The following is a 27,110-nucleotide window of genomic DNA, read 5'->3' as shown; positions in this document are numbered from 1 at the left end:
GTTAGCCAGGATGGTCTCAATCTCCTGACCTCGTGATCCACCCGCCTCGGCCTCCCAAAGTGCTGGGATTACAGGTGTGAGCCACTGCACCTGGCCTATTTATTTATTTATTTTGAGGCAAAGTCTTGCTCCATTGCCCAGGCTGGAGTGCAGTGACAAAATCATGGCTCACTACAGACTCCACCTCCTGGGTTTAGGCAATCCTCCTACCACAGCCTCCTGAGTTGCTGGGACTACAGGCGTGCACCACCATGCGCAGCTAATTTTTTTTTTTTTTAATTATTTGTAGAAACAGATTCTCCCTGTGCTGCCTAGGCTGGTCTCCAACTCCTGGGCCTCAAGTGATCCTCCCACCTCAGCCTCCAAAGTGCTAGGATTACAGACATGAGCCACCACACTTAGCCTCCAAATCTTAATCTTAGATTAAGTGTCTTAATCTTCGAAACGGTCTGCCAAGGAGACATTTGGTCACTTCTCTCACTCTGGCTGTGTCTGACTGACCTGAGAGGCTACAAACCACAGCTGTCACCTTTACTGGTCTGTCAGTCTGTCTGAAACAGCTCTGACAACCCAGCCAGAAGAGGAAAATGTAGTCATTTCTTTCAAGGCCCTAAGTCTTACAAAAAGTAGGGCAGATGGGGACCGGCTGCAGTGGCTCCTGCCTGTAATCCTACTGCTTTGGGAGCCCAAGGCGGAGAATCACTTGAGACCAGGAGTTCAAGATGAGCCTGGGCAACATAGTGAGACCCTGTCTCTATAGAAACTAAAAAATTAGCAAGGCATGGTGGTGTGTGCCTGTTGTCCCAGCTACTCAAGAGGCTGAGGTGGGAATATCGCTTGAGCCTAGGAGCTCAAGGCTGCAGTCAGCCGTGATCAAACCACTGCACTCCAGCCTGGGTGACAGAGTGAGAAATTGTCTCAAAAAATAAACAGGCTAGGTGTGGTGACTCATGCCTGTAATCCCAGCATTTTGGGAGGCTGAGGCAGGTGGATCATTTGAGGTCAGTAGTTCAAGACCAGCCTGGCCAAAATAGTGAAACCCCACCTCTACTAAAAATAAAAAATTAGCCAGAAGTGGTGGCAGGTGCCTATAATCCCAGCTACTCGGGAGGTTGAGGCAGGTGAATCACTGGAACCAGGGAGGTGGAGGTTGCAGTGAGCCAAGATCATGCCACTGTGCTCCAGCCTGGGCGACAGAGCGAGACTCCATCTTAAAAAAGCAAACAAACAAACTAGGGCAGGTGAGGTCCCATCCAATCTGCAGCCAAATAGACTGGGACTCACAGCTGCCCAGAGCTGCTGAGCTAAGAGGAGAGAGTGGACTAAGGGGGCCACCTAGAAAACCTAGGTCCATTCTTGGGGCTAGGGGAGCACAACCTGGCATCTGGTACACAGTAGGTGTTTAATGAATGCTAACAGAAGGAACAATTATCGAAGACCCGCTGAACACCAGGCACTGGGCCTGTGAAAGGGTCTTGTTAGTTTCATCCTTGTGGCAATACATTTAGGTTGGTGTTACTAGTCCCATTATTTCATTAAGATGCGGAGACTGGGGCGCTGAGAGGCTTAGTGACATATCCAAGGTCAAGAAAATGGCAGAGTCCTACCTAGAGCAATCAGACAAGAGAAAGAAATAAAGGACATCCAGGCCAGGCGCAGTGGCTCACACCTGTAATCCCAGCATTTTGGGAGGCCGAGGCGGGCGGATCACAAGGTCAGAAGATCAAGACCATCCTGGTGAACACGGTGAAACCCCATCTCTACTAAAAATACTATATATATATATATATATATATATATATATATATATATAAGCCGGGCGTGGTGGCAGGCGCCTGTAGTCCCAGCTACTCGGGAGGCTGAAGCAGGAGAATGGCATGAACCCAGCCGGGGGGTAGCTTGCAGTGAGCCGAGATTGCGCCACTGCACTCCAGCCTGGGAGACAGCAAGACCCCATCTCAAAAAAAAAAAAAAAGAAATAAAAGGCATCCATATTGGTAAAGAGGAAGTCAAACCGTCGCTGTTCACCAATCATATGGTCATATACCTAGAAAAACTCTAAAGATTCATCCATAAAGCTCCCAGATTTTATAAACAAATTTAGTAAAGTTTCAGGATACAAAATCAATCTGCACAAATCAGTAGCACTGCTGTATATCAACAATGACCAAACTGAGAATCAAGAATCTAACCTTTTTTACAATAGCTGCAAAAAATAATAATAAAATACTTAGGAGTATACCTAACCAAGGAGGTGAAAGACCTCCATAAGGAAAACTACAAAACACTGCTGAAATAAATCATAGACACAAACAAATGGAAACATATCCCATGCTCATGGATGGTTAGAATCAATATTGTGAAAATGACCATACTGCCAAAAGAAATTCAAAACTCTAAGGCAATTCCCATCAAAATACCATCATCATTCTTCACAGAACTAGAAAAGACAATCCTAAAATTCATGTGGGGCTGGCTATGGTAGCTAACACCTGTAATCCCAGCACTTTGGGAGGCAGAGGTGGGCAGATCACAAGGTCAAGAGATTGAGACCATCCTGGCCAACACAGTGAAACCCTGTCTCTACTAAAAATGCAAAAATTAGCCAGGCATGGTGGCGCGTGCCTGTAGTCCCAGCTACTCAGGAGTCTGAGGTAGGAGAATCACTTGAACCTGGGAGGCGGAGGTTGCAGTGAGCCGAGATTGTGCCACTGCACACCAGCCTGGCGACAGAAAAAAAAAAATCCATCTGAAAAAAAAAATGCACATGGAACCAAAAAAGAGCCTGCATAGCCAAAGCAATGCTAATCAAAAAGAACCAATCTGGAGGCATCACATTACCTAACTTCAGACTATATTATAAGGCCATAGTCACCAAAACAGCATGGTACTTGTATAAAAACAGGCACATAGACCAATGGAACAGAATAGAAAACCAAGAAATAAATCCAAATACTTACAGCCAACTGATCTTTAACAACTCAAACAAAAACATAAAGTGGGGAAAAGACACCTTATTCAACAAATGGTGGCTGGGATAATTGGCAAGCCACATGTAGAAGAATGAAACTGGATTCTTATCTCTCACCTTACATAAAAATCAGCTCAAGATGGATCAAACACTTAAATCTAAGACTTGAAACCATAAAAATTCTAGAAGATAACATTTGAAAAACCCTTCTAAACACTGGCTTCAGCAAAGACATCATGACCAAGAGCCCAAAGGCAAATGCAACAAAAACAAAGATAAATAGACGGGACTTAATTAAACTAAAAAGCTTCTGCACAGCAAAAGAAATAATCAGCAGAGTAAATAGACAACCCACAGAGTGGCAGAAAATCTTCACAAACTATGCATCTGACAAAGGACTAATATCCCAAATCTGCAAGGAACTCAAACAAATCAGCAAGAAAAAAAACAAACAAACAATCCCATCAAAAAGTGGGCTAAGGACATGAATAGATAGACAATTCTCAAAAGAGTATATACAAATGGCCGACAAACATATGAAAAAATGTTCAGCATCACTAGTTATCAGGGAAATGCAAATCAAAACCACAGTGCGATACCACCTTACTCCTGCAAGAATGGCCATAATTTAAAAATCAAAAAATAATAGATGTAGGCATGGATGTAGTAAAAAGAGAACACTTTTATGATGCTGGTGGGAATGTAAACTAGTATAACCACTATGGAAAGCAGTATGGAGATTCCTTTTTTTTTTTTTTTTTTTTGAGATGGAGTCTTGAACTGTCACCCAGGCTGGAGTGCAGTGGCGCAATCTCAGCTCACTGCAAGCTCCGCCTCCCAGGTTCATGCCATTCTCCTGCCTCAGCCTCCCAAGTAACTGGGACTACAGGCGCCTGCCACCATGCCTGGCTAATTTTTTGTATTTTTAGTAGAGATGGGGTTTCACCGTGTTAGCCAGGATGGTCTCGATCTCCTGAGCTCGTGATCTGCCCACCTGGGCCTCCCAAAGTGCTGGGATTATAGGCATGAGCCACCGCACCGGGCCAGGAGATTCCTTAAAGAACTAAAAGTAGATCTACCATTTGATCCAGCAATCCCACTACTGGGTATCTACCCAGAGGGAAAGAAGTCATTATATGAAAAAGAGACTTGCACACTCATGTTTATAGCAGCACAATTCACAATTGCACAATTGCAAAAATATGGAACTAGCCCAAATGCCCATCAATCAATGAGTGGGTAAAGAAAATGTCATATATACAGGCTCATGCCTGTAATCCCAGCACTTTCGGAGGCCAAGGCGGGCGGATCACCTGAGGTCAGGAGTTCGAGGTCAGCCTGACCAACATGGAGAAACCCCATCTCTACTAAAAATACAAAATTAGCTGGGCGTGGTGGCACATGCCTGTAATCCCAGCTACTCGGGAGGTTGAGGCAGGAGAATCACTTGAACCCGGGAGGCAGAGGTTGCTGTGAACTGAGATTGTATCATTGCACTCTAGCCTGGGCAACAAGAGCGAAACTCTGTCTCAAAAAAAAAAAAAAAAAGAGAAACAAAATCATGGCCTTTGCAGCAACCTGGATAGAATTGGAGACCATTATTCTAAGTGAAGTAACTCAGGAATGGAAAATCAAACATATGTTCTCACGTATAAGAGAACACAAAGGCATAAGAATGAACAATGGACTTTGGGGACTCTAGGGGAAGATTGGGAGCGGGGGCGAGGGATAAAAGACTACACACTGGGTACAGTGTACAAGCTTGGGTGGTGGATGCACCAAAATCTCAGAAATCACCACTGAAGAACTTATCCATGTAACCAAACACCACCTGCTCCCCAAAAGCCTACTGAAATAATTTATAAAAGGAACGGGCTGGGCGCAGTGGCTCACGCCTGTAATCCCAGCACTTTGGGAGGCCGAGGTGGGTGGATCAACTGAGGTCAGGAGTTTGAGATGAGCCTGGCCAACATGGTGAAACCTCGTCTCTACTAAAAATACAAAAATTAGCTGGGCGTGGTGGCAGGTGCCTGTAATCCCAGCTACTTGGGAGGCTGAGGCAGGGGAATCACTTGAACCCAGGAGGCAGAGGTTGCAGTGAGCCGAGATTGTGCCACTGCACTCCAGCCTGGGTGACACAGTGAGACTCCATCTAAAAAAACAAAAACAAAAACAAAACAAAACAGGCCAGGCACCGTGGCTCACACCTGTAATCCCAGCACTTTGGGAGGCCAAGGCGGGAGGATCACGAGGTCAGGAGATCGAGACCATTCTGGCTAACATGGTGAAACCCTGTCTATACTAAAAATACAAAAACAAAATTAGCCGGGCGTGGTGGCGGGTACCTGTAGTCCCAGCTACTCGGGAGGCTGAGGCGGGAGAATGGCGTGAACCCAGGAGGCGGAGCTTGCAGTGAGCCGAGATTGTGCCACTGCACTCCAGCCTGGGTGACAGAGCGAGAGTCCGTCTCAAAAAATAAAAAAAAAAGAAAAAGAAAAAACAGGAAACAATAACTGGGGGGAAAAAAGAAAAAGAAAATGGCAGAGCCGAGACAATAACCCAGAAATTGGGACCCAGCTTTCTTCACTGTTTCCCCTGTACCAGGGACAGCCAGTTTCCAAAGCTCTCCCTCCCAACAGCCAGCCAACATGTAGGTCCCTGTGATGAAAGCCAAGAGCAAGGCCAAGCCTTAGGCAAGCCCTGAACCTCTTTGCTCATTATTGCATAACTTTTTTTTTTTTTTCGAGACAGAGTCTCATTGTGTCACCCAGGCTGGAATGCAATGACCCAATCTCGGCTCACTGCAACCTCCGCCTCCCAGGTTCAAATGATTCTCCTACCTCAGTCTCCCAAGTAGCTGGAATTACAGGCATGCGCCACCACACCGAGCTAATTTTTGTATTTTTAGTAGAGACTGGGTTTTGCCATGTTGACCAGGCTGGTCTTGAACTCCTGACCTCAAGTAATCCTCCCGCCTCAGCCTCCCAAAGTGCTGGGATTATAGGCATGAGCCACTGCGCCTGGCCATTATTCCATAAATATTGATGGAGGGCCAACTGCATGCCCAGTGCCGAGGGATAGAGAAGAATTAGACCCCAACCTGCCTAAAAAGAGCTCACGGCCTGGGAAAGGAGTATGAGGGGAGGTCTGTTTGCCCTAGGGGCTGCTGAGGAAGAAACACTAAGCCCAGATCCATTCCTGACATAATTCTGCCTGGACATCCACTGAGTCAGGGTCAGAGACTCAGGGCTGCCCTCCTGGGTTGTTGAAGGAGAGGCAAAGTTGAAACCACTAGAAGGTGGGGCTCCTCCAGGGGAAAGACCAATTCCAGGCACCCCATCTGAGGACAAAAGCTGAGAGAACATCTTCACTGGGGTGTGGGGAGTATACAAGAAATACCAGGACCAGGCCGGGTGTGGTGGCTCATGCCTGTAATCCCAGCACTTTGGGAGGCCAAGGCGGCTAGATCAGCTGAGGTCAGGAGTTCTGGAGACCAGCCTGGCCAACATGGTGAAACTCTGTCTCTACTAAAAATACAATAATAAGCTGGGCGTGGTGGTGGGCGCCTGTAATCCCAGCTACCTGGGAGGCTCAGGCAAGAGGATCACTTGAATCCGGGAGGCGGAGGTCACGGTGAGCCGAGATCATGCCACTGCACTCCAGCCTGGGCAATAGAGTGAGACTCAGTCTCAAAAAAAAAAAAAAAAAAGAAAGAAAAGAAAAGAAAAAAAGACCAGGACCTGCAGAATTTTCCTGACAAGCCACCACCTGCAAAGCTGGCTCCACAGTGGATCCACCTCTGTACCTCCCAGAGCAGCCGGCATTCTGTCATTTTTGTTGAAGGAAATGGGCAGAGACTGGGACAGCCAAGCGCGGCCTTCTGTGGTTTTAGGGAGAAGGGCGGGTGAGCCAGTCCGTTGCCCTGAGAAGAGGTCAAGAGGATGAAGACTATGAAAGCGACTGAGTTGGGCAATTAGGGGTCCCTAGTGGCCTTCAAAAAGAATGCTTTCAACAGCAGCTGCTGAAATTTCAAGGGCAAGTTCGGTAGCGGGAGGGGAAGAGGGAGAGAGAGAATGCAGAGCCTAAGCCAGCCATCAGCAGAGTGAAGACACACGCATAATTCATGATGTCCTTCTTAACTTGTTTTGAAAATCTGATTTTTTTGACAGACAACTCAGGGGTTAATCAACCTCAGAGGTTCAGAAGTTCCATGAATCCCTTAAAGTGGAGAGAACTCCACCCAAACAATATAATATTGCTTATATTTGCACCAGGGAGACATAGCCTGAATCTATCCATAAGGAAATACCAGACAAACCTCAAATAAGGTGCATTCGATTAAAAGGAAAAATGTGTGGGGGAGTCCTACTCTGAAAAAATGTCATGAAAGATGAAAAAGATGAGGAATTGCCCCAGATTAAAGAAGCCTAGGCCAGCATGGTGGCTCACACCTGTAATCCCAACACTTTGGGAGGCTGAGATGGGCAGATGGCCTGAAGCCAGAAATTCGAGACCAGCCTGGCCAATATGCCAAAACCCCATCTCTACTAAAAGTACAAAAATTAGCTGGGTGTGGTGGCGTGCACCTGTAATCCCAGCTACTCAGGTGGCTGAGGCAGGAGAATCACTTGAACCCAGTTGAGCCGATATCGCACCACTGCACTCCAGCCTGGGCAATAAGAGCAAAACTCAGTCTCAAAAAATAAAAATAAATAAAAAATAAAGAAGCCTAAATATCTGGGTGTGGTGGCTCATGCCTGAAATCCCAGCAAGCACTTTGGGGGCTGAGGCAGGAGGATTGCTTGAGCCCAGGAGTTCAAGACCAGCCTGAGCAACATAGGGAGACCCCTGTCTCTACAAAAAATAGAAAAATGGCTGGGCGTGGTGGCTCATGCCTGTAATCTCAGTATTTTGGGAGGCCGAGGTGGGCAGATCACGAGGTCAGGAGATCGAGACCATCATGGCCAACACGATGAAACCCCATCTCTACTAAAAATACAAAAATTAGCTGGGCATGGTGGCAAGTGCCTGTAATCCCAGCTACTCCAGAGGTTGAGGCAGGAGAATTGCTTGAACCCAAGAGGCGGAGGTTGCAGTGAGCCAAGATCGCGCCACTGCACTCCAGCCTGGCGACAGAGCAAGAGTCCGTCTCAAAAAAAAAAAAAAGAAGAAGAAGAAGAAAAATGGCCGGACACAGTGGTTCACGCCTGTAATCCCAGCACTTTGGGAGGCCGAGGTGGGTAGATCAGCCTGGGCAACATAGTGAGACCTCATTTCTTTTTTTTCTTTTTCTTTTTTTTTTTTTTTGAGACGGAATCACGCTCTGTCACCCAGGCTGGAGTTCAGTTGCGTGATCTCAGCTCACTGCAAGCTCCACCTCCCGGGTTCATGCTATTCTCCTGCCTCAGCCTTCCGAGTAGCTAGGACTACAGGCGCCTGCCTAATTTTTTGTATTTTTAGTGGAGACGGGGTTTCACTGTGTTAGCCAGGATGGTCTCGATCTTCTGACCTCGTGATCTGCCTGCCTCGGCCTCCCACAGTGCTGGGATTACAGGCGTGAGCCACCGCACCTGGCCGAGACCTCATTTCTAAAAGAAGAAAAGAAATATTAGTCAGGTGTGCTGGCACGCTGTAGTCCCAGCTACTCAGGAGGCTGAGGTGAGAGGATCTGTTGAGCCCAGGAAGTAGAGGCTGCAGTGAGCCAATATCACGCCACTGCACTCCAGGCTGGGTGACACAGTGAGACATTGTCTCAAAAAAAAAGGAGAAGAGGAAGCCAATTAAATGCAATGTGTGATCCTGATCTGGATCTTATACTACAGGGAAAAAATATTCTAAAGGATCCTTATTGATAAAAATTGGAATATAGACAGTAAATTATTGTATTGATGTTAAATTTCACTGAACTGTGGTGATGCGAGAAAATATCCTTGTTCTTAGGTAATACCCACTGAAGTATTTGGGGGCAAAGGGGCATGATGGCTGCCACTTTCAGTTCAGTTAATATACCAAAAAAAAACTATGCTTTTATTGTTTTTTTGTTTTTTGTTTTTTGAGACAAGGCCACGCTCTGTCGCCCAGGCTGGAGTGCAGTGGCGCAATCATGGCTCACTGCAGCCTCAATCTCGCTGGCTCAAGCGACCCTCCCACCTCAGCCTCTTGAGTAGCTGGGACTACAGTTACACATCACCACAGCTGGCTAATTTTGTTTATTTTTTTGCAGAGACGAGGTCTCACTATGTTGCCCAGGCTGGTCTCAAACTTCTGGGCTTAAGTGATTATCCTGCCTTGGCTTCCCAAAGTACCGGGATTACAGGCATGGGCCACTGCTGCTGGCCTAAAACTATGTTGTTTTGTTAATTTTTTATTTTTCATTTTCTTGTCCCCCACGTTCAACCAACTAAAACTACGTTTTTATCTACTGTATATACAAAGAGAGAAAGAAAGCAAATGGGGCAAAATGTTATCAACTGATAAATCTAGGTAAGGGAGGAAGAATCTTTGTATCATTCTTGAAGCTCTTCTGTAAGCTTTAAAGTATTTCCAAATTAAAAAATAATAATAATAATAACTACCCAAACCAGGAACCTCCCTAAAGTGAGTGGCCTTCATCCTACTCTTTTTCCCCCAGCCCTGGCCCTCGGTTAGTGTCCTGGGTGAACAGGGTAGTGTTAGGGGCACAGGTGGAGGCCAGAAGGGCAGAGGCCCTCCGCTTCAGAACATTCCTCGGCTCGCAACATTTCCTGATCTGACCTCTGGGGAGGCCACAGAGCCAGGCCAGGAGCGACTCACCCGCGGGGCTCCCAGGGCGGTGGAGGAGCCCTTCCCCGCAGAGAGGGCCCCAGCCGGCAGGTGCCGCTGTTGAGCCAGCTCTGGCAGAACCTGGCTGAGGCTCAGCCAGGCCCTGGAGCTGGTCAGCCCATGGTTTTCTTCCAGAACCCAGCCCACCAGGGTCTGTGAGCAGCCTCACTCCTCTTTGCCTCCATCTGGCCTCGGGCTCCCAGGCCCTCAACTTCCCCGCATTCCCGTCGCCATCACGGAAGCCCCAAGGCAACTCCTTGGGATAATGCCAAGTGGAGGAGGGGAGGAGTGCAGGAAGAGGCTTCAATCCTTGGCCCTAAAATCTAAGCTGCAAATTAATCCTACCCCTCTCCTCCACCCCATCTCCCTCTCCTCCTCCTCCTCCTCCTCTCCTCCACCTCCTACTCTCCTCCACCCCATCTCCCTCTCCTCCCCCTCCTCCTCCTCCTCTACAGGCTTTCAAAACAAACACACACCTCCCCAGCCCATCCCCCTGCCTGGGCCTTTTTCTGGGGGTTGTGGGTCCTAGACTTCAGTTCCTTCTGCTGGATCCAGAGCTCAGGGTAGAGCTGGAGAAGGGGTAACAGGGTGCTGGGGAGCAGCGCAGACAATGCCCTGTGACATTATTTCTTCCTTGTCTAGAAAGGAGTTGCTCTCACAGCCCCTTAGTCATAGGGGCTGGGCAGGGGGAGTCATTCCCTGCCTGGGCTAGTGGAGCTGGCCCTTTACCCTAGGCTTTCCCCTGACCTACTCAAACTCAGGACGAAAGAGGCCTAGAGAGGTCATTTTGTCCATCCCCTGGCTCCAGGAAAGACCATAACTGTGCATAGGTCTCCCGATCCTACATGCGTTCACTAATTCCTTCAACAGCCCTTCACTGAGCACCCGCTATGTGCGAGTACCAGGAGCTTTACCTAATGCTTAAAGCACCTTAAATCCTCACTAGGACCATCAGAGATGGGTACTATCACTCTAAATTTGTCCAAAGATTCAGTTCAATCCAGGCCTTCTCTGTGACTCCTTCCAGCCCGTGCAGTGGAATTCATCTCATTCGGCTTTGGGGCCCCCAGTGCACCTCGAATAATATCCCAGTTACTGTATTTGTGTCATCGGCTTCCAGTAATTTGTCTTCGTGGGACCCCCTCCACCACTACCAGATGGCACAGACCACAGCAATAGGGACAGTAAAGCCTGGAGGTTCTGCACTAGCCCTCACTATGTGGCCTTGAAGTTCCCTAACTTTAAGTTCAGTTTCCCATCTGTAAAACAGGGTTAACAGCAATACCTTCCTCATGGAGTTGATATGTAGGTAAAAAAAGAAGATGATATAAAGGCCTGACTTGGTGGCTCATGCCTGTAATCCCAGCCATTTGGGAGGTCAAGGCTGGCAGATTGCTTGAGGTCAGGAGTTCGAGACCAGCCTGGTCAACATCGTGAAACCCAATCTACTAGAAACACAAAAATTAGCCAGGCATGGTGGCATGCACCTGTAATCCCAGCTCTTGGGAGGCTGAGGCATGACAAACACTTGAACCCAGGAGGCGGAGGTTGCAGTGAGCCGAGATCATACCACTGCACTCCAGCTTGGGCAACAGAGCAAGACTCTGTCTCCAAAAAAAAAAAAAAAATGCATGTAAAATGCTTAGCACAATAAATTTAACTTAAAACAGGGAAGTTGGGCTGGGAGAGGTGGCTCACCCCTGTAATCCCAGCACTTTGGGAGGCTGAGGAGGGCAGATCACCTGAGGTCAGGAGTTCCAGACCAGCCTGACCAACATGGAGAAACCCCGTCTCTACAAAAAATACAAAATTAGCCAGGCGTGGTGGCGCATGCCTGTAATCCCAGCTACTGGGGAGGCTGAGGCAAGAGAATCCCTTGAACCTGGAAGGCAGAGGTTGTGGTGAGCCAAGATCATGCCATTGCGCTCCAGCCTGGGCAACAAGAGCGAAATTCCATCTCAAAACAAAACAAAACAAAACAAAACAAGGAAGTCCATCTCCACTAGAATGGCTAAAATGAAAAAAGCAGTCAACACCAAGTGTGGGCCAAGTACGTGGAGCAAAGGAATTCTCATACTGAACTGGTGAGGGTGGAAAACCATTTAACATTTTCTGTTAAAATTGAATATATTTATATAGTATGACCCAGCAACTCCAATCCTAGATATAAACTCAAGAGGAATGCATGCACATGTGTACCAAAAGACATGTAAAATAATTTTCATAGAAACACTAATCATACATAATAACCCCAAACTGGAAGCAACCCAAATGTCCAGCAGCAGCAGAATGAATGAAGGCACTTTAGTTTATTAATTCAATGGAATATTATACAGCAATGAAAAAGAATGAACAGCTACTACTCATAACAACATGGATAAATCTCACAGATATAATGTTGAAGGAAAGAAACTGAGCACCAAAGGGGTACATATAGCATGTTTATTTTCATAGAAAATTCCAAAACAGCCAACTAATCTATGTTAGGGGTCAGGATGGAGGTTACCTTGGGGAACAGTTATTAAAAACAGGACTTGGGGCTGGGCACAGTGGCTTATGCCTGTAATCCCAGCACTTTGGGAGGCCAAGGCAGGCAGACCACCTGAGGTTAAGAGTTCGAGTCCAGCCTGGCCAACATGGTGAAACCCTGTCTCTACTAAAAACACAAAAATGAGCTGGGCGTGGTGGTGCACGCCTGTAGTCCCAGCTACTCAGGAGGCTGAGGCAGAAGAATCTCTTAAACCTGGGAGGCAGAGGTTATAGTGAGCTGAGAGCCGAGATCGTGCGATTGCACTCCAGCCTGGGTGACAGAGCTAGACTCTGTCTCAAAAACAACAACAACAACAAAAAAAAAAAAACAGGGCTTGGCTGGTTCTGAGTACAGACAGAGTTGTTTCTCTTTTTCTTTGTTTCTTTTGTGAGATGAGGTCTCACTCTGTTGCCCAGGCTGGAGTGCTATTGTGAGACCTCAGCTCACTGCAGCCTTCGCCTCCCAGGCTCAAGCAATCCTCCCACCTCAGCCTCCCAAGCAGCTGGGACCACAGGCACATGCCACTGTACCCGGCTAATTTTTTGTATTTTTGGTAGAGACAGGGTTTCACCATGTTGCCCAGGCTGGTCTCAAACTCCTGGGCTCAAGTGATCTGCCTACCTTGGTCCCCGAAAAGTGATGGGACTACAGGCATGAGCCACCATTCCTGGCCAGTTGTGTCTTCATTGGGTGTGGTTACATAGGTGTGTTGACTATGAAAATTCATTAAGCTGTACACTTACTATTTATCTACTTTTTTTGTATAAATGTTGTATACTTCCATAAAAAAATTACCCTTAATATAAAATAAGACAAAGAACAAAGACGAATGAATGGAGCTACATGTATCACATAAATAAATCTTTTTTTTTTTTTTTGAGACAGAGTCTCCCTTTGTCACCCAGGCTGACGTGTGGTGGCGTGATCTTGGCTCACTGCAACCTCCGCCTCCCGGGTTCAAGCGATCCTCCTGTTTCAGCCTCCTTCAGACTACAGGCACGTGCCACCATGCCCGGCTAATTTTTGTATTTTTAGTAGAGATGGGGTTTCTCCATGTTGGCCAGGCTGGTCTCTAACTCCCGACCTCAGGTGGTCCACCCTCCTCAGCCTCCCAAAGTGCTGGGATTACAGGCGTGAGCCACTGTGCCCCGCCCACATAAATAAATCTTAAAACGTTTTAAGTAAGCAGCAAGTTATAAGATTTTGGTAGTATGATTCATAAAAATTTTTAAAGTGCTTAAGACTACATATTATTTAAGTATACATACCTAGGTAGTACAAATAAAAGACATGCAGTGGGCCAGGTGCGGTGGCTCACGCCTGTAATCCCACGAGGCGGGTGGTTCACCTGAGGCCAGGAGTGCGAGACTAGCCTGGCCAACATGGTGAAACCCCATCTCTACTAAATATACAAAAATTAGCCAGGCATGGTGGCAGGCACCCATAATCCCAGCTACTCGGGAGGCTGAGGCAGGAGAATAATTTGAATCCGGGAGGCAGAGATTCACATGAGCAGAGATTGCACCACTGCACTCCAGCCTGGGTGACAGAGTGAGACTTCGTCTCAAAAAAAAAAAAAAAATGCAGAGGAGTGATAACACTGAATGCATAACAGAGATTTTCCTTCAGTGGGAGAGAAGGGACTGAGATATGCACAAAGGAAAAAGTTTCAAAAGTTTTTCTAGGCTGGGAGTGGTGACTCTTGCCTATAATCCTAGCATTTTGGGAGGCTGAGGTAGGAGGATCACTTGAGGTCAGGAGTTTGACTCCAGCCTGGACAACATAGTGACACCCCATCTCTACAAAAAATTTAAAAATTGGCTGGGCGTGGTAGCTCACGCCTGTAATCCCAGCACTTTGGGAGGCCAAGGCGGGCAGATCATGAGGTCAGGAGACCGAGACCATAATGGCTAACACTGTGAAACCCCGTCTCTACTAAAAATACAAAAAATTAGCCGGGCGTGGTGGCCGGCGCCTGTAATCCCAGCTACTCAGGAGGCTGAGGCAGGAGAATGGCATGAACCCGAGGGGCGGAGGTTGTAGTGAGCTGAGATCACGCCAGCCTGGGCGACAGAGCGAGGCTCTGTCTCAAAAAAAAAAAAAAAAATTTAAAAATTAACCAGGCTTGGTAGTGTGTACCTGTAGTCCTAGCTACTCAGGAGGCTGACACTGGAGGATTGCTTGAGCTCAGGAGTTGGAGATTGCACTGAGCTGTGATCAAGCCACTTCACTTCAGTCTGGGCAACAGAGTGAGACTCTGTCTCTAAAAGTTAAAAAAATAATAAGAGGCCGGGCGCGGTGGCTCATGCCTGTAATCCCAGCAGTTTGGGAGGCCGAGGCAGGCGGATCACAGGTCAGGAGATCGAGACCATTCTGGCTAACACGGTGAAATCCCATCTCTACTAAAAATACAAAAAATTAGCCGGGTGTGGTGGCAGGTGCCTGTAGTCCCAGCTACTCAGGAGGCTGAGGCAGGAGAATGGCGAGAACCCAGGAGGCGGAGGTTGCAATGAGCCGAGATCACGCCACTGCACTCCAGCCTGGGTGACAGAGCGAGACTCCGTCTCAAAAAATAATAATAATAATAAGTATTTCTAGCTTTCTTTCTTTTTTTTGAGACAAAGTCTCACTCTGTCATCCAAGCTGGAGTGCAGTGGCGCGATCTCAGCTCACTGCAGCCTCTGCCTCCCCAGTTCAAGCGATTCTCCTTTCTCAGCCTCCCAAGTAGCTGGGACTACAGGCACATGCCATCACGCCCGGCTAATTTTTGTGTTTTTAGTAGAGACGGGGTTTCATCATGTTGGCCAGGATGGTCTTGATCTCCTGACCTCATGATCTGCCCACCTCGGCCTCCCAAAATCCTGGGATTACAGGGGTGAGCCACCACACTCAGCCGCTTTATGTCTTAAGCGGGATGTTCTTATCATGGGTGTTCATTTTATTATTCTGAATACTTTATATTTTTCTGATTGACATAGTTAAAAGAACTCCTCAGTAAAAGAAAGAGGGAGAGAGAGAAAAAAAGAAAAGAAGAGAAGAGAAAAGAAAAGAAAAAAGAAAAGGAGGAAGGGAGGAAATTGTGTCCTATTTATCTTTGTCTTTCCAGCACCAACCCAGTGCTGGCCCTCAATAAGTGCTTGGGGAATGAAAGATCACTCGATCACTTGGCCAGTAAAGCATCAGAACCATGGTTTGATGCCAGACCCTCCTATGCCAAATCCCAAGTCCAGGCCATTCCCTACTCTTCTGCAAACAGGGGGTGACTGGAGAGGGGTAGCAATAGTAGAGACCCCAACCTGACTCAGCACTATCTGTATCTGAACTGAATTACAGAATTACTGAATTACAGGGCACAGTGAAAGAACAAAACTTCATTAATCAGAACTCTGCAAATTCAGGGCCGGGCGCAGTGGCTCATGCCTGTAATCCCAGCACTTTGGGAGGCCGAGGCAGGTGGATCACTTGAGGTCAGGAGTTCAAGACCAGCCTGGCCAACATGGCGAAACCCCGTCTCTACTAAAAATACAAAAATTAGCCAGGCATGGTGATGGGTATCTGTAATCCCAGCTACTCAGGAGAATCACTTGCACCCAAGAGGCAGAGGTTGCAGTGAGCTGAGATTGCGCCACCACACTCCAGCCTGGGTGACAGAGTGAGACCCTGTCTAAAAAAAAAATAAAAACTGCAAATTTAGAATCGGGTGGCCCCAAATTTCTATGGATAAATACTGCTCAAATCTTCTTGTTTTTTTGTTTGTTTTGTTTTGTTTTGTTTTGTTTTGTTTTGAGACAGAGTCTCGCTCTGTCACCAGGCTGGAGTGCAGTGGCGTGATTTCGGCTCACTGCAACCGCCGACTCCCAGGTTTAAGCGATTCTCCTGCCTCAGCCTCCTGAGTAGCTGGGATAACAGCCATGCACCCCCACACCCAGCTAATTTTTGTATTTTCAGTAGAGATGGAGTTTCTCCATGTTGGCCAGGATGGTCTCGATCTCCTGACGTCATGATCCACCCACCTCGGCCTCCCAAAGTGCTGGGATTACAGGTGTGAACAACCACGCCCAGCCAAATCTTTTAATAATTTGATCTTTTTTGGAAACCTGTTCAGATTTGCCTATGTGATAGATGTAGCTCAACCCATTGGGCTCTTTTGTATCACTGCATTGTCCTTTTCATGGGAAGACGGGGCTCTCTAAGCCAACGTCTGGCCCAAACAGCTTGTGGCATTGCTTTGAACAGTGCAAAAAAATCAACAAACAGCCTTCAGCACATTAAGTCTGCGTGCAGAGATGCCACTAATTGCAGACACGTTTTATCTGTTTATTAGGCCTCATGTGGAATGCAGCCTCTGAGAAAAGCACTTCTCACCACTCAAAACCCACCGAAGCATGCCCAGCCCTGAGAGGGGCTTCTAGGAATGCAAAACGAGCTGTCTCTGCAGCCACGAGCAGAGCTAACTGCATAATAAGCACACTGGAGGGGATTCACAGGCTTTGAGGATTGTTTTGAAGGAAGAGAAATAGGTCCTACTTCTGTGGGAGACTGATTATTCCTTTAACTCCAATCAGAGCTGATAGTTTGAAGGGTAGTGAATGACGCTGGCGGTGGTTGAAGCTGCAAGAAGCCCATCTGGTTACCGCATCATCGCACACCTGCCTGCACAGCAGATTTCTCACCCTGACTGATATGCATTCAAGCAAGTTCTCTACTAGGCCACACTGATGAAGGCAGAGGTGTTACTGTACTGAATGGTAATAAAATGACAATTCTCTTCAAAAATGCTCTCGTTCACACTTTGCACTCAGACTGTCTTGCTACCAGCAACTCCCTCACCAGGCAGGCTGAAATCAGTCAGTTACTCATTCGCTCATGTATCAATTTAATATTTAACAAAAAGCCATTTGTGCCAGCCACTGTGTTAGCCACTGGGGTGACAATGACCAAGAGGTTCCCTACCCTCAGGATCTTGGAGTCAAGCTAACAGATCATTAGGATTCTGTGTGATTAGGACAATGATAGAGGGAAATACGGAAGGCAGGGCCCAGAGGAGAGTGGGGCCAGCTACTTACCTGTCCCAGCCCCTCCCCGACAGGTACCCAGCTTACCAGCCATGCCAACACCTGCCTCCCAAACTCACTCCCCTGGGTCTTTACCCTGCCTTTCTGTTGGTGACACCCCTTCCTACGCCTACCTGTCTCCAAACTGCTGCTCCTCCCCCAGGATTCAGGTCAAAATGATAGGCCCCAAATTCAGAAGGGCAGTTCATCTAAAAGGATGAAATCAGGCTGGGCATGGTGGCTCACTCCTGTCCTCTCAGCACTTTGGGAGTCTGAGGCTGGTGGATCACCTGAAGTCAGGAGTTCAAGACCAGCCTGGCCAACATGATGTCTAGTAAAAATATATATATATGGCTGGACGGGGTGGCTCACGCCTGTAATCCCAGCACTTTGGGAGGCTGAGGCACGTGGATCACCTGAGGTCAAGAGTTTGAGACCAGCCTGGCGAAACCCTGTCTCTACTAAAAATATAAAAGTTAGCAGGGTGTGGTGGTACACACCAGTAGTCCCAGCTACTCGGGAGGCTGAGGAAGGAGAATTGTTTGAACCCGGGAGGCAGAGGTTGCAGTGAGCTGAGATGGCACAACTGCACTCCAGCCTAGGCAACAGAGTGAGACTCCATCGCAAAAAAAAAAAAAAAAAAAATCCTGGACATGGTGGTTCATGCCTGTAATCCCAGCACTTTGGAAGGCTGAGGCAGGAGGATCACCTGAGGTCGGGAGTTCGAGACCAGCCTGACCAACATGGAGAAACCCCGTCTCTACTAAAAACACAAAAATACAAAATTAGCCAGGCATGGTGGTGCATGCCTGTAATCCCAGCTACTCGGGAGGCTGAAGCAGAGGAATCACTTGAACCTGGGAGGCGGAGGTTGCAGTGAGCCGAGATTTGTGCCATTGCACTCCAGCCTGGGCAAAAAGAGCAAAACTCTGTCTCAAAAAAATAAAGAAAAAAAAAAGAAGAAGGATGCAATCAGGAAGGAAAACCCTGGGGACTGTTTTGAGGAGGGCGGGGTAGTATTTTTAATGTTTTATTTCCTAAGCAAGAGGTTCATTCTATTATTCTATATGTGCCTTTCTGTGTCTGAAATATTTCATCATTATATATTTCCAAAAGAGATTCCATTCAAGCTACACTTCCATCTTTAGACCTACCTTCTGCTATGTTTCCTTGTCAAGAATCAAGCTCGAAATTCCCTGTCAGTCAAAAGCAACTTCATGTTTCTAAAGATGCATGGAAATGATTGTCACCAAGCTAGGATCCCAATTACCTCTAGGAGGGAGAGTGCAATTAGAGAGCAGAATAATGCTGGGGCTTCAACAATCACCACAATGTTGCAACTTTTTTTCTTCCTACACACAGCATTAAATGCTTCCCACACACAGCATTAAGAGTTGATAGTTCTTAAACCGGGTGATGGGTACATAGGTATTTTAGTAGAGACAGGATTTCGCTGGGCAACATGGCAAAACCCCATCAATATTTTAGCCATAAATATAAAATATTATATAAAATATTGTATAATATTTTACGGCCATGTGTGTGTGTGTGTGTGTGTGTGTGTGTGTATTTTTTTTTTTTTTTTGAGACGTAGTTTCGCTCTTGTTGCCCAGGCTGGAGTGTAATGCCGCCATCTCGGCTCACTGCAACCTCCATTTCCCAGGTTCAAGTGATTCTCCTGCCTCATCCTCCCTAGTAGCTGGGATTACAGGCATGCGCCACTACACCCAGCTAATTTTGTATTTTTGGTAGAGACAGGGTTTCACCATTTTGGTCAGGCTGGTCTCGAACTCCCGACCTCAGGTGATCCACCCACCTCGGCCTCCCAAAGCGTGGGGATTACAGGCTTGAGCCACCGCACCCAGCTTAAAATATTGTATAATATTTTATGGCTAAAATACCATATAATAAATTAAACATTTGAAAAGTAACTCTGGGCCGAGAGGGGTGGTTCACGCCTGTAATCTCAGCACTTTGGGAGGCCAAGGCAGGTAGATCACTTGAGGTCAGGAGTTCAAGACCAGCCTGGCCAACATGGTGAAACCCTGTCTCTAGCAAAAATATAAAAAATTAGCTGGATGTGGTGGCGTGTGCCTGTAGTCCCAGATACTGGGGAGGCTGAGGCAGGAGAATCGCTTGAATCCAGGAGACAGAGGTTGCAAGATTGCACCACTGCACTCCAGCCTGGGCGACAAAGCTGGACTCCATCTCAAAAAATTAAAAAATACAAATACAAATACAAAAATTAGCCAGGTGTTGTAGTGCAGGCCTGTAATCCGAGCTACTTGAGAGGCTGAGGCAGGAAAATTGCTTGAACCTGGGAGGCGGAGGTTGCAGTGAGCCAAGATAGTGCCACTGAACTCCAGCCTGGGTGACAGAGCAAAACTCCATTTAAAAAAAAAAAAAGAAAGAAAAAGACGGGAGGAGGAGGGAAGAAGGAAGGGAGAAAGGGAGAAGGGGTTGGGCACAGCAGCTCACACCTGTAATCTCAGCACCTTGGGAAGCCAAGGCAGGAGAATCGATTGAGGCCAGAAGTTTGAGATCAGCCTGGGCAACATAGGAAGACCACATCTCTACGAAAAAATAAAGGGAAGATAGAAGAAAAAAGGAAGATGGAAGGTAGCAGTTAATGCAGTTGATAAGGAAGAGCAAAGAGGTGGCTCTCTGCTAGGCATGGAGGGAACACTAAGTTTTGACGTGCTGGTGTAGAGCAGAGGGCAGCAACAGAGACATGAGTCTGTGTCTTTTTTTTTTTTTTTTTTTTTTGAGACGTAGTCTCGCTCTGTCGCCCAGGCTGGAGTGCAGCGGTGCAATCTCGGCTCACTGCAACCTCCACCTCCCCAGTTCCAGCAATTCTCCTGCCTCAGCCTCCCAAGTAGCTGGGACTACAGGTTCCCACCACCACGCCTGGCTAATTTTTGTATTTTTAGTAGAAACGGGGTTTCACCATATTGGCCAGGCTAGTCTCAAACTCCTGACCTTGTGATCCACCTGCCTCGGCCTCCCACAGTGCTGGGATTACAGGCGTGAGCCACCGCGCCCAGCCGAGGCTGTGTCTTGATGTAATGAGCAACGTGGGGTGGCTGAGCTGGATGCTGCAGCTGGGCTGCCTGGGCTCAACTCCTGGTGTGACTTTTTTTTTTTTTTTTTTTTTTTAGAGACGAGGTCTCACTATGTTGCTCAGGCTAGTCTCCAACTCCAGAACTCAAGTGATTCTCCCACCTCAGCCTCCCAAAGTGCTAAGATTACAAGTATGAGCCGCCACACCCAGCCCGGATGTGACCTCTTATTAACGATGTGACTTTGGACACCTTACTTCAATTTCTTTATCCTGCAAAATGTTTATGGGGATCATATAAGATGAACTACTGACTGGGTAATTTATTTAAAAAAAAAAGAGATTTATTTGGCTTATGGTTCTGGAGGGCAAGAAGTCCAAGATCAAGGGGTCCTGTCTGGTGAGGGCCTCCTTGCTGCATCATGACATGACAGAAGGCATGACATGGTGGAAGTATGCAAGACAGAGAAAGGAAATCTGCCAAACTTATCCTTTTATCAGGACCCAATCCCACAACTAACACACTTCCTCGATAACGGCATTGATCCATTCACGAGGGCAGAGCCCTCATGACCTAATCCCCTCTTAAACGTCTCACTTCTTTTTTTTTTCTGGAGACAGAGTCTCTCTGGCGCCAGGCTGGAGTGCAGCAGTGCAATCTGCGCTCACTGCAATCTCTGCCTCCTGGGTTCAAGCAATTCTCCTGCCTCAGCCTCCTGAGTAGGTGGGACTACAGGCACGTGCCACCACGCCAGGCTCATTTTTTGTATTTTTAGTAGAGAAGGGGTTTCACCATGTTGGCCAGGATGGTCTCCAACTCCAGACCTCATGATCCGCCCGCCTCGGCCTTCCAAAATGCTGGGATTACAGGCATGAGCCACCACGCCTGGCCAAATGTCTCACTTCTTAATGTTGTCACAATGGGCCAGGCATGGTGGCTCACGCCTGTAATCCCAGCACTTTGGGAGGCCAAGGCGGGCAGATCACCTGAGGTCAGGAGTTCCAGACCAGCCTGACCAACGTGGTGAAACCCCATCTCCACTAAAAATACAAAAATTAGCTGTGCGTGTTGGTATATGCCTGTAATTTCAGCTACTTGGAAGGCTGAGACAGGAGAATTGCTTGAACCCGGGAGGCGGAGGTTGCCATGAGCTGAGATTGTGGCATTGCACTCCAGCCTGGGTGACAAGAGCAAAACTCTATCTAAAAAAAAAAAAATTGTCGCAATGGTAATTAAATCCTAACACTAGTTTTGGAGGGGACATTCAAGCCATATCACAATGGTTGGCATTGAGCAAGTGCTGGATATTGTTATCACTTGTATTATTACTTATAAGTCACATGACCCTAAACAAGTAATTTCAGATCTCCAAAAGACAGTCTTCCCACTCGGGAAATGGATCTCACCATATCACCCAAATAAACTCATATGGCCGGGCGTGGTGGCTGATGCCTGTAATCCCAGCACTTTGGGAGGCCAAGGTGGGCGGATCAGGAGGTCAGGAGATCAAGACCAACCTGGCTAACACGGTGAAACCCCGTCTCTACTAAAAATACAAAAAATTAGCTGGGCGTTGTGGCACGCACCTGTATTCCCAGCTACTCAGGAGGCTGAGGCAGGAGAATCGCTTGAACCCGGGAGGTGAAGGTTGCAGTGAGCCGAGATGGCGCCACTGCACTCACCTGGGAGACAGAATGAGACTCCGTCTCAAAAAATAATAATAAAAAATAAAAAATAAACTCATATTAATGAAAGCACTTTGAATATTACAAAGTGCTTCGTAAATGAGAGTTATTGTTTAAAAATAAAACTACTGGCCAGGCATGGTGGCTCACATCTGTAAAGCACTTTGGGAGGCCAAGGCGGTAGGATCACCTGAGGTCAGGAGTTTGAGACCAGCCTGGTCAACATGGTGAAACCCTGTCTCTACTAAAAATACAAAAATTAGCTGGGTGTGATGGTGTGTGCCTGTAATCCTACCTACTGGGGAGGCTGAGGCAGGAGAATCACTTGAACCCAGGAGGTGGAGGTTGTAGTGAGCTGAGATCATGCCATTGCACTCCAGCCTGGGAGACAAGAGTGAAACGCTGTCTCAAAAAAAAAAATAATAATAATAAATAAATTAATTAATTAAAATAAAACAAATAAAATAAATAAATAAAACTTCCAGCCTGGGCAACATGGTGAAACCCTGCCTCTACCAAAAATACAAAAATGAGCCAGGTGTCATGGCGCATGCTTGTGGTCCCAGCTACTCAGGAGGCTGAGATGGGAGGATTGCTGGAGCCCAGAAAATCGAGGCTGCAGTGAGCTGATCACACCACTGCACTCCAGCCTAGGTGACAGAGTGAGACCCTGTCTCAAAAAAGAAAACTTCATATGAAAAGATCAGAAGAGAGTGTAAGCTCCATAAGGGTAGTGACTGTGTCCATCGAGCTCACTGGGATATCCCCAGCATGCACAGCGTGGATACCCAGTGCTATGAATTGAATTACACACCCCAGACAAAAAAGATATGTTAAAGTCCCAACTCCTAGTATCTTTGAATGCAACCTTATGTGGAAACAGTCTTTACAGAGGTAATCAAGTTAAAATGAGGTTATTAGGGTGGGCCCTAATGACTGGTGTCTCTATAAAAAGGAGAAATTTAGTCCGGGCGCGGTGGCTTACGCCTGTAATCCCAGCAGTTTGGGAGGCCGAGGTGGGCTAATCACCTGAGGTTGGGAGTTCAAGACCAGCCTGACCAACATGGAGAAACCCTGTCTCTACTAAAAATACAAAAAATTAGCCGGGCATGGTGGCGCATGCCTGTAATTCCAGCTACTCAGGAGGCTGAGGTAGGAGAATCGCTTGAACCCGGGAGTCAGAGGTTGCGATGAGCTGAGATTGTGCCATTGCACTCCATCCTGAGCGACAAGAGTGAAACTCCATCTCAAAAAAAAAGGGAAAATTTGGACACAGAGACACACATGCATAGAGGGAAGATGGACATGTGAAAACAAGGAATTGAAGCCATGCATTTACAAGTCAAGGAATGCCAAAGATTGCCAGCAAACCACTAGAAGCTAAAAATAGGCAAGGAAGGCCAGGTGCGGTGGCTCATGCCTGTAATCCCAGCTCTTTGACAAGCCAAGGTGGGAGGATTACTGGGGGCCAGGAGTTTGAGACCAGCCTGGGCATTATAGCAATATCCTGTCTCTATACATAAAAGTAAATAAAGAGGCAAGGAAGGATCTTTCTCCCACTGGTTTTAAAGAAAGTGTGGCCCTACCAACACCTTAAGACTTCTGTCCTCCAAAACTGAAACAATACACTTCCATTGTTCTAAACCACTCGGGGGTACTTTATTATAGCAACTTAGGAAACAAATACACCCAGTCAATATCTGTTGAATGAACAAATGGTGCTGCTTGTGTTCCTGATGAGTCATGGCATCTTTTCACCAGGAGAGAGGGATGTGTGTGTCCAGGCAGGACAATGGAAAGGTGCCTGGCCTGCTCTGCAGAGGGTACAGAGTGGCAGTGAGCCAGGTAAGGCAGGACCTTCTTTTTTTTTTTTTTTTTTTTTGAGATGGAGTCTCGCTCTGTGGCCCAGGCTGGAGTGCAGTGGTGCAATCTCAGCTCACTGCAGCCTCTGCCTCCCCAGTTCAAGTGATTCTCCTTCCTCAGCCTCCTGAGTAGCTGGGACTACAGGCACCCACCACCATGCCCGGCTAATTTTTTTGTATTTTTAGTAGAGATGGGGTTTTACCGTGTTAGCGAGGATGGTCTCGATCTCCTGACCTTGTGATATGCCCGCCTCGGCCTCCCAAAGTGCTGGGATTACAGGCATGAGCCACCGTGCCCGGCCAGGACTTTTTTTTTTGAGATGGAGTCTCGCTTTGCTGTCCAGGCTGGAGTGCAATGGCATGATCTCAGCTCACTGCAACCTCCACCTCCCAGGTTCAAGTGATTCTCCTGCCTCAGTCTCTCAAGTAGCTGAGATTACAGGCGTGCACCACCATGCCTGGCCAATTTTTGTATTTTTAGTAGAGATGAGGTTTCACCATATTGGCCAGGCTGATCTCAAACTCCTGATCTCAAGTGATCCACCTGCCTCAGCCTCCCAGAGTGCTGGAATTACAGGCATGAGCCACTGCACCTGGCCAAAGTCAGGATTTGAACCTGGGCTGTCCAACACCAGTCTGTGCTCTCAATCTCTGCACTTGCCAAGACCTCAGAGTAACTCAGCTGGCTCTAGAGAACCCTCCCTGTCCTGGCCTCCAAGTGGCCTCCTTCTTCCCCACCTCTGCTCTGAGTGAAGCAGAAGAAATGGGGCTGGGATAATCAAGAAGATACTAAGGAGGAAGCAAGGATAGCATTTGATTCTGAAACTTCCGGGGAGCTCATACACAGCACTTGCCCCCATGTGTGCCACCAGCAGGAGGCCTGGAGTAAACCCCAGTGCGGAGGCCCCCTCGCCTGGATAGGACAGAAGTCATCACGCGCGTGCACACACACACACACACACACACACACACACACACACACACACATGCACACACACCCCGGTGCAGGGCGTTGTGCTGTTGTGGCAAAAAAGCAACAGTTCCTTGCTAGGCAGAATTTCAGAATCTGATTGCTGGAGGAGCACTTGGCATGTTTTCTGGTCTGACCTCCTGCCCTTTCACAGGCACCCTGGCACATCCACTGATGGGAGCCAGGAGTCTCTGGGGACAGCCTGACCCCTAGCTGAGTGGTGGAAATTCCTCCTTCCCTTTAACTTGAGCTCTGCCCATTTCCTGGTCGGCCCTCTAAAGCTCCCCTGCCTGGTATCTAAACCCTGGAGGTCGTGCCATCTTGGAATCCTCCTAGGGATGTGGGCAGGTGCAAGGCACTCCACACTTGGGACTCCTGGTCAGGGCAAGCCGGGCAGAGAAAACCTCTGCAGCTCTCTGAACTCTGGTTCTCAGCCCTGGGTGTACCTGAGCATCCCCCAGGGAGCCTCAAAAATCCCAGAACAATTAAATCAGAAATTCTGGGCCGGGTGCGGTGGCTCATGCCTGTAATCCCAAGACTTTGGGAGGCCGAGGTGGGCAGATCACTTGAGGTCAGGAGTTGGAAACCAGCCTGGCCAACATGGTGAAACCCCGTCTCTACTAAAAATATAAAAAATTACCCAGGCGTGGTGGCGGGCGCCTGTAGTCCCAGCTACTCAGGAGGCTGAGGCAGGAGAATGGCATGAACCCGGGAGGTGGAGCTTGCAGTGAGCCAAGATCACGCCACTGCACTCCAGCCTGGGAGACAGAGCGAGACTCCATCTCAAAAAAAAAAAAAAAGAAAGAAAGAAAGAAAAAGAAAAAAAAAGAAATTCTGGGCATGGAACCCAGGCACTGGAACTGTGAAAACTTTCTCAGGTAATTCCAGTGGGAAGTAACATTGAGAAGCAATGATTTCTTGAACATAGGAGTTCTGCAAAGGGAGGGAAGCTGGACTCTGGCAAGATGGAAAGCAGCAGGAAGGCAGTCATAGGGAAAGGCTTCCAAAAAAGTAGAAGGTCTGGTACAGATAGGAGTTTAAAAAATTAAATAGGCTGGATGCAGTGGCTCACGCCTGTAATCCCAACACTGTGGGAAGCTGAGGCGGGTAGATCACCTGAGGTCAAGAGTTCAAGACCAGCCTGGTCAGCATGGTGAAAGCCCGTCTTTACTAAAAATACAAAAATTAGCCAGGCGTAGTGGCACGAGCATCTAGCCCCAGCTACTCAGGAGGCTGAGAAGCAGACAAATTGCTTGAACCCGGGAGGCAGAGGTTGCAGTGAGCTGAGATCGTGCCACTGCACTCCAGCCTGGGTGACCGAGCGAGACTCCATCTCAAATAATAATAATAATAATAAATAATTTTTAAAAATGGAAAAGTAGAATGGTGGTATTCAGGGGCTAGAAGAACGTGGGAAATGATGAGTTATTGTTTAATGTGTATAGAGTCTTAGTTGAGAAGATGAAGAGAGATGGATGATGGCGAGGTTACAGAACAATTTGAATGTATTTAATGCCACTGAATTGTACACTTCATTTTTTAATTTTTTTTTGAGACGGAGTCTCGCTCTGTCACCCAGGTTGGAGTACAGTGGCGCGATCTCTGCTCACTGCAAGCTCCGCCTCCCGGGTTCAGGCCATTCTCCTGCCTCAGCCTCCCGAGTAGCTGGGACTACAGGCGCCCGCCACCACGCCCAGCTAATTTTTTGTATTTTTAGTAGAGACGGGGTTTCACCGTGTTAGCCAGGATGGTCTCGATCTCCTGACCTCGTGATCCACCCACCTTGGCCTCCCAAAGTGCTGGGATTTACAGGCGTGAGCCACCATGCCCGGGGTGAATTGTACTCACGCCTGTAATCCCAACACTGTGGGAAGCTGAGGCGGGTAGATCACCTGAGGTCAAGAGTTCAAGACCAGCCTGGTCAGCATGGTGAAAGCCCGTCTTTACTAAAAATACAAAAATTAGCCAGGCGTAGTGGCACGAGCATCTAGCCCCAGCTACTCAGGAGGCTGAGAAGCAGACAAATTGCTTGAACCCGGGAGGCAGAGGTTGCAGTGAGCTGAGATCGTGCCACTGCACTCCAGCCTGGGTGACCGAGCGAGACTCCATCTCAAATAATAATAATAATAATAAATAATTTTTAAAAATGGAAAAGTAGAATGGTGGTATTCAGGGGCT

The 27,110-nt window shown here is 47.6% G+C and overlaps 1 long non-coding RNA gene across 1 annotated transcript in view, besides 3 other annotated features; it reads left to right on the top strand.

Moving 5' to 3' along the window:
• Positions 1–16,866, top strand: part of FMNL1-DT (FMNL1 divergent transcript) — a 30,835-nt gene extending 13,969 nt beyond the window's left edge. The window contains exon 3 of the long non-coding RNA NR_147507.1: positions 16,627–16,866. This is a non-coding gene — a long non-coding RNA (FMNL1 divergent transcript). The remainder of the gene's footprint in view (positions 1–16,626) is intronic.
• Positions 3,901–4,162: a silencer, noted in NCBI's record as "fragment chr17:43281002-43281263 (GRCh37/hg19 assembly coordinates)". NCBI's record gives its function as "represses an EF-1alpha promoter that drives an FKBP-Casp9 reporter gene in an ReSE screen in HepG2 liver carcinoma cells {active_cell/tissue: HepG2}" and the evidence as "EXISTENCE:reporter gene assay evidence [ECO:0000049][PMID:32094911]".
• Positions 5,050–5,234: a silencer, noted in NCBI's record as "fragment chr17:43279930-43280114 (GRCh37/hg19 assembly coordinates)". NCBI's record gives its function as "represses an EF-1alpha promoter that drives an FKBP-Casp9 reporter gene in an ReSE screen in HepG2 liver carcinoma cells {active_cell/tissue: HepG2}" and the evidence as "EXISTENCE:reporter gene assay evidence [ECO:0000049][PMID:32094911]".
• Positions 17,010–17,059: an enhancer, noted in NCBI's record as "active region_12282". NCBI's record gives its function as "activates an Ori minimal core promoter by ATAC-STARR-seq in GM12878 lymphoblastoid cells {active_cell/tissue: GM12878}" and the evidence as "EXISTENCE:reporter gene assay evidence [ECO:0000049][PMID:35858748]".

The sequence above is a fragment of the Homo sapiens genome, chromosome 17 (genome assembly GCF_000001405.40).
Source record: "Homo sapiens chromosome 17, GRCh38.p14 Primary Assembly".
NCBI lineage: Eukaryota > Metazoa > Chordata > Mammalia > Primates > Hominidae > Homo > Homo sapiens.
This window is presented reverse-complemented; position numbering and strand designations above follow the sequence as displayed.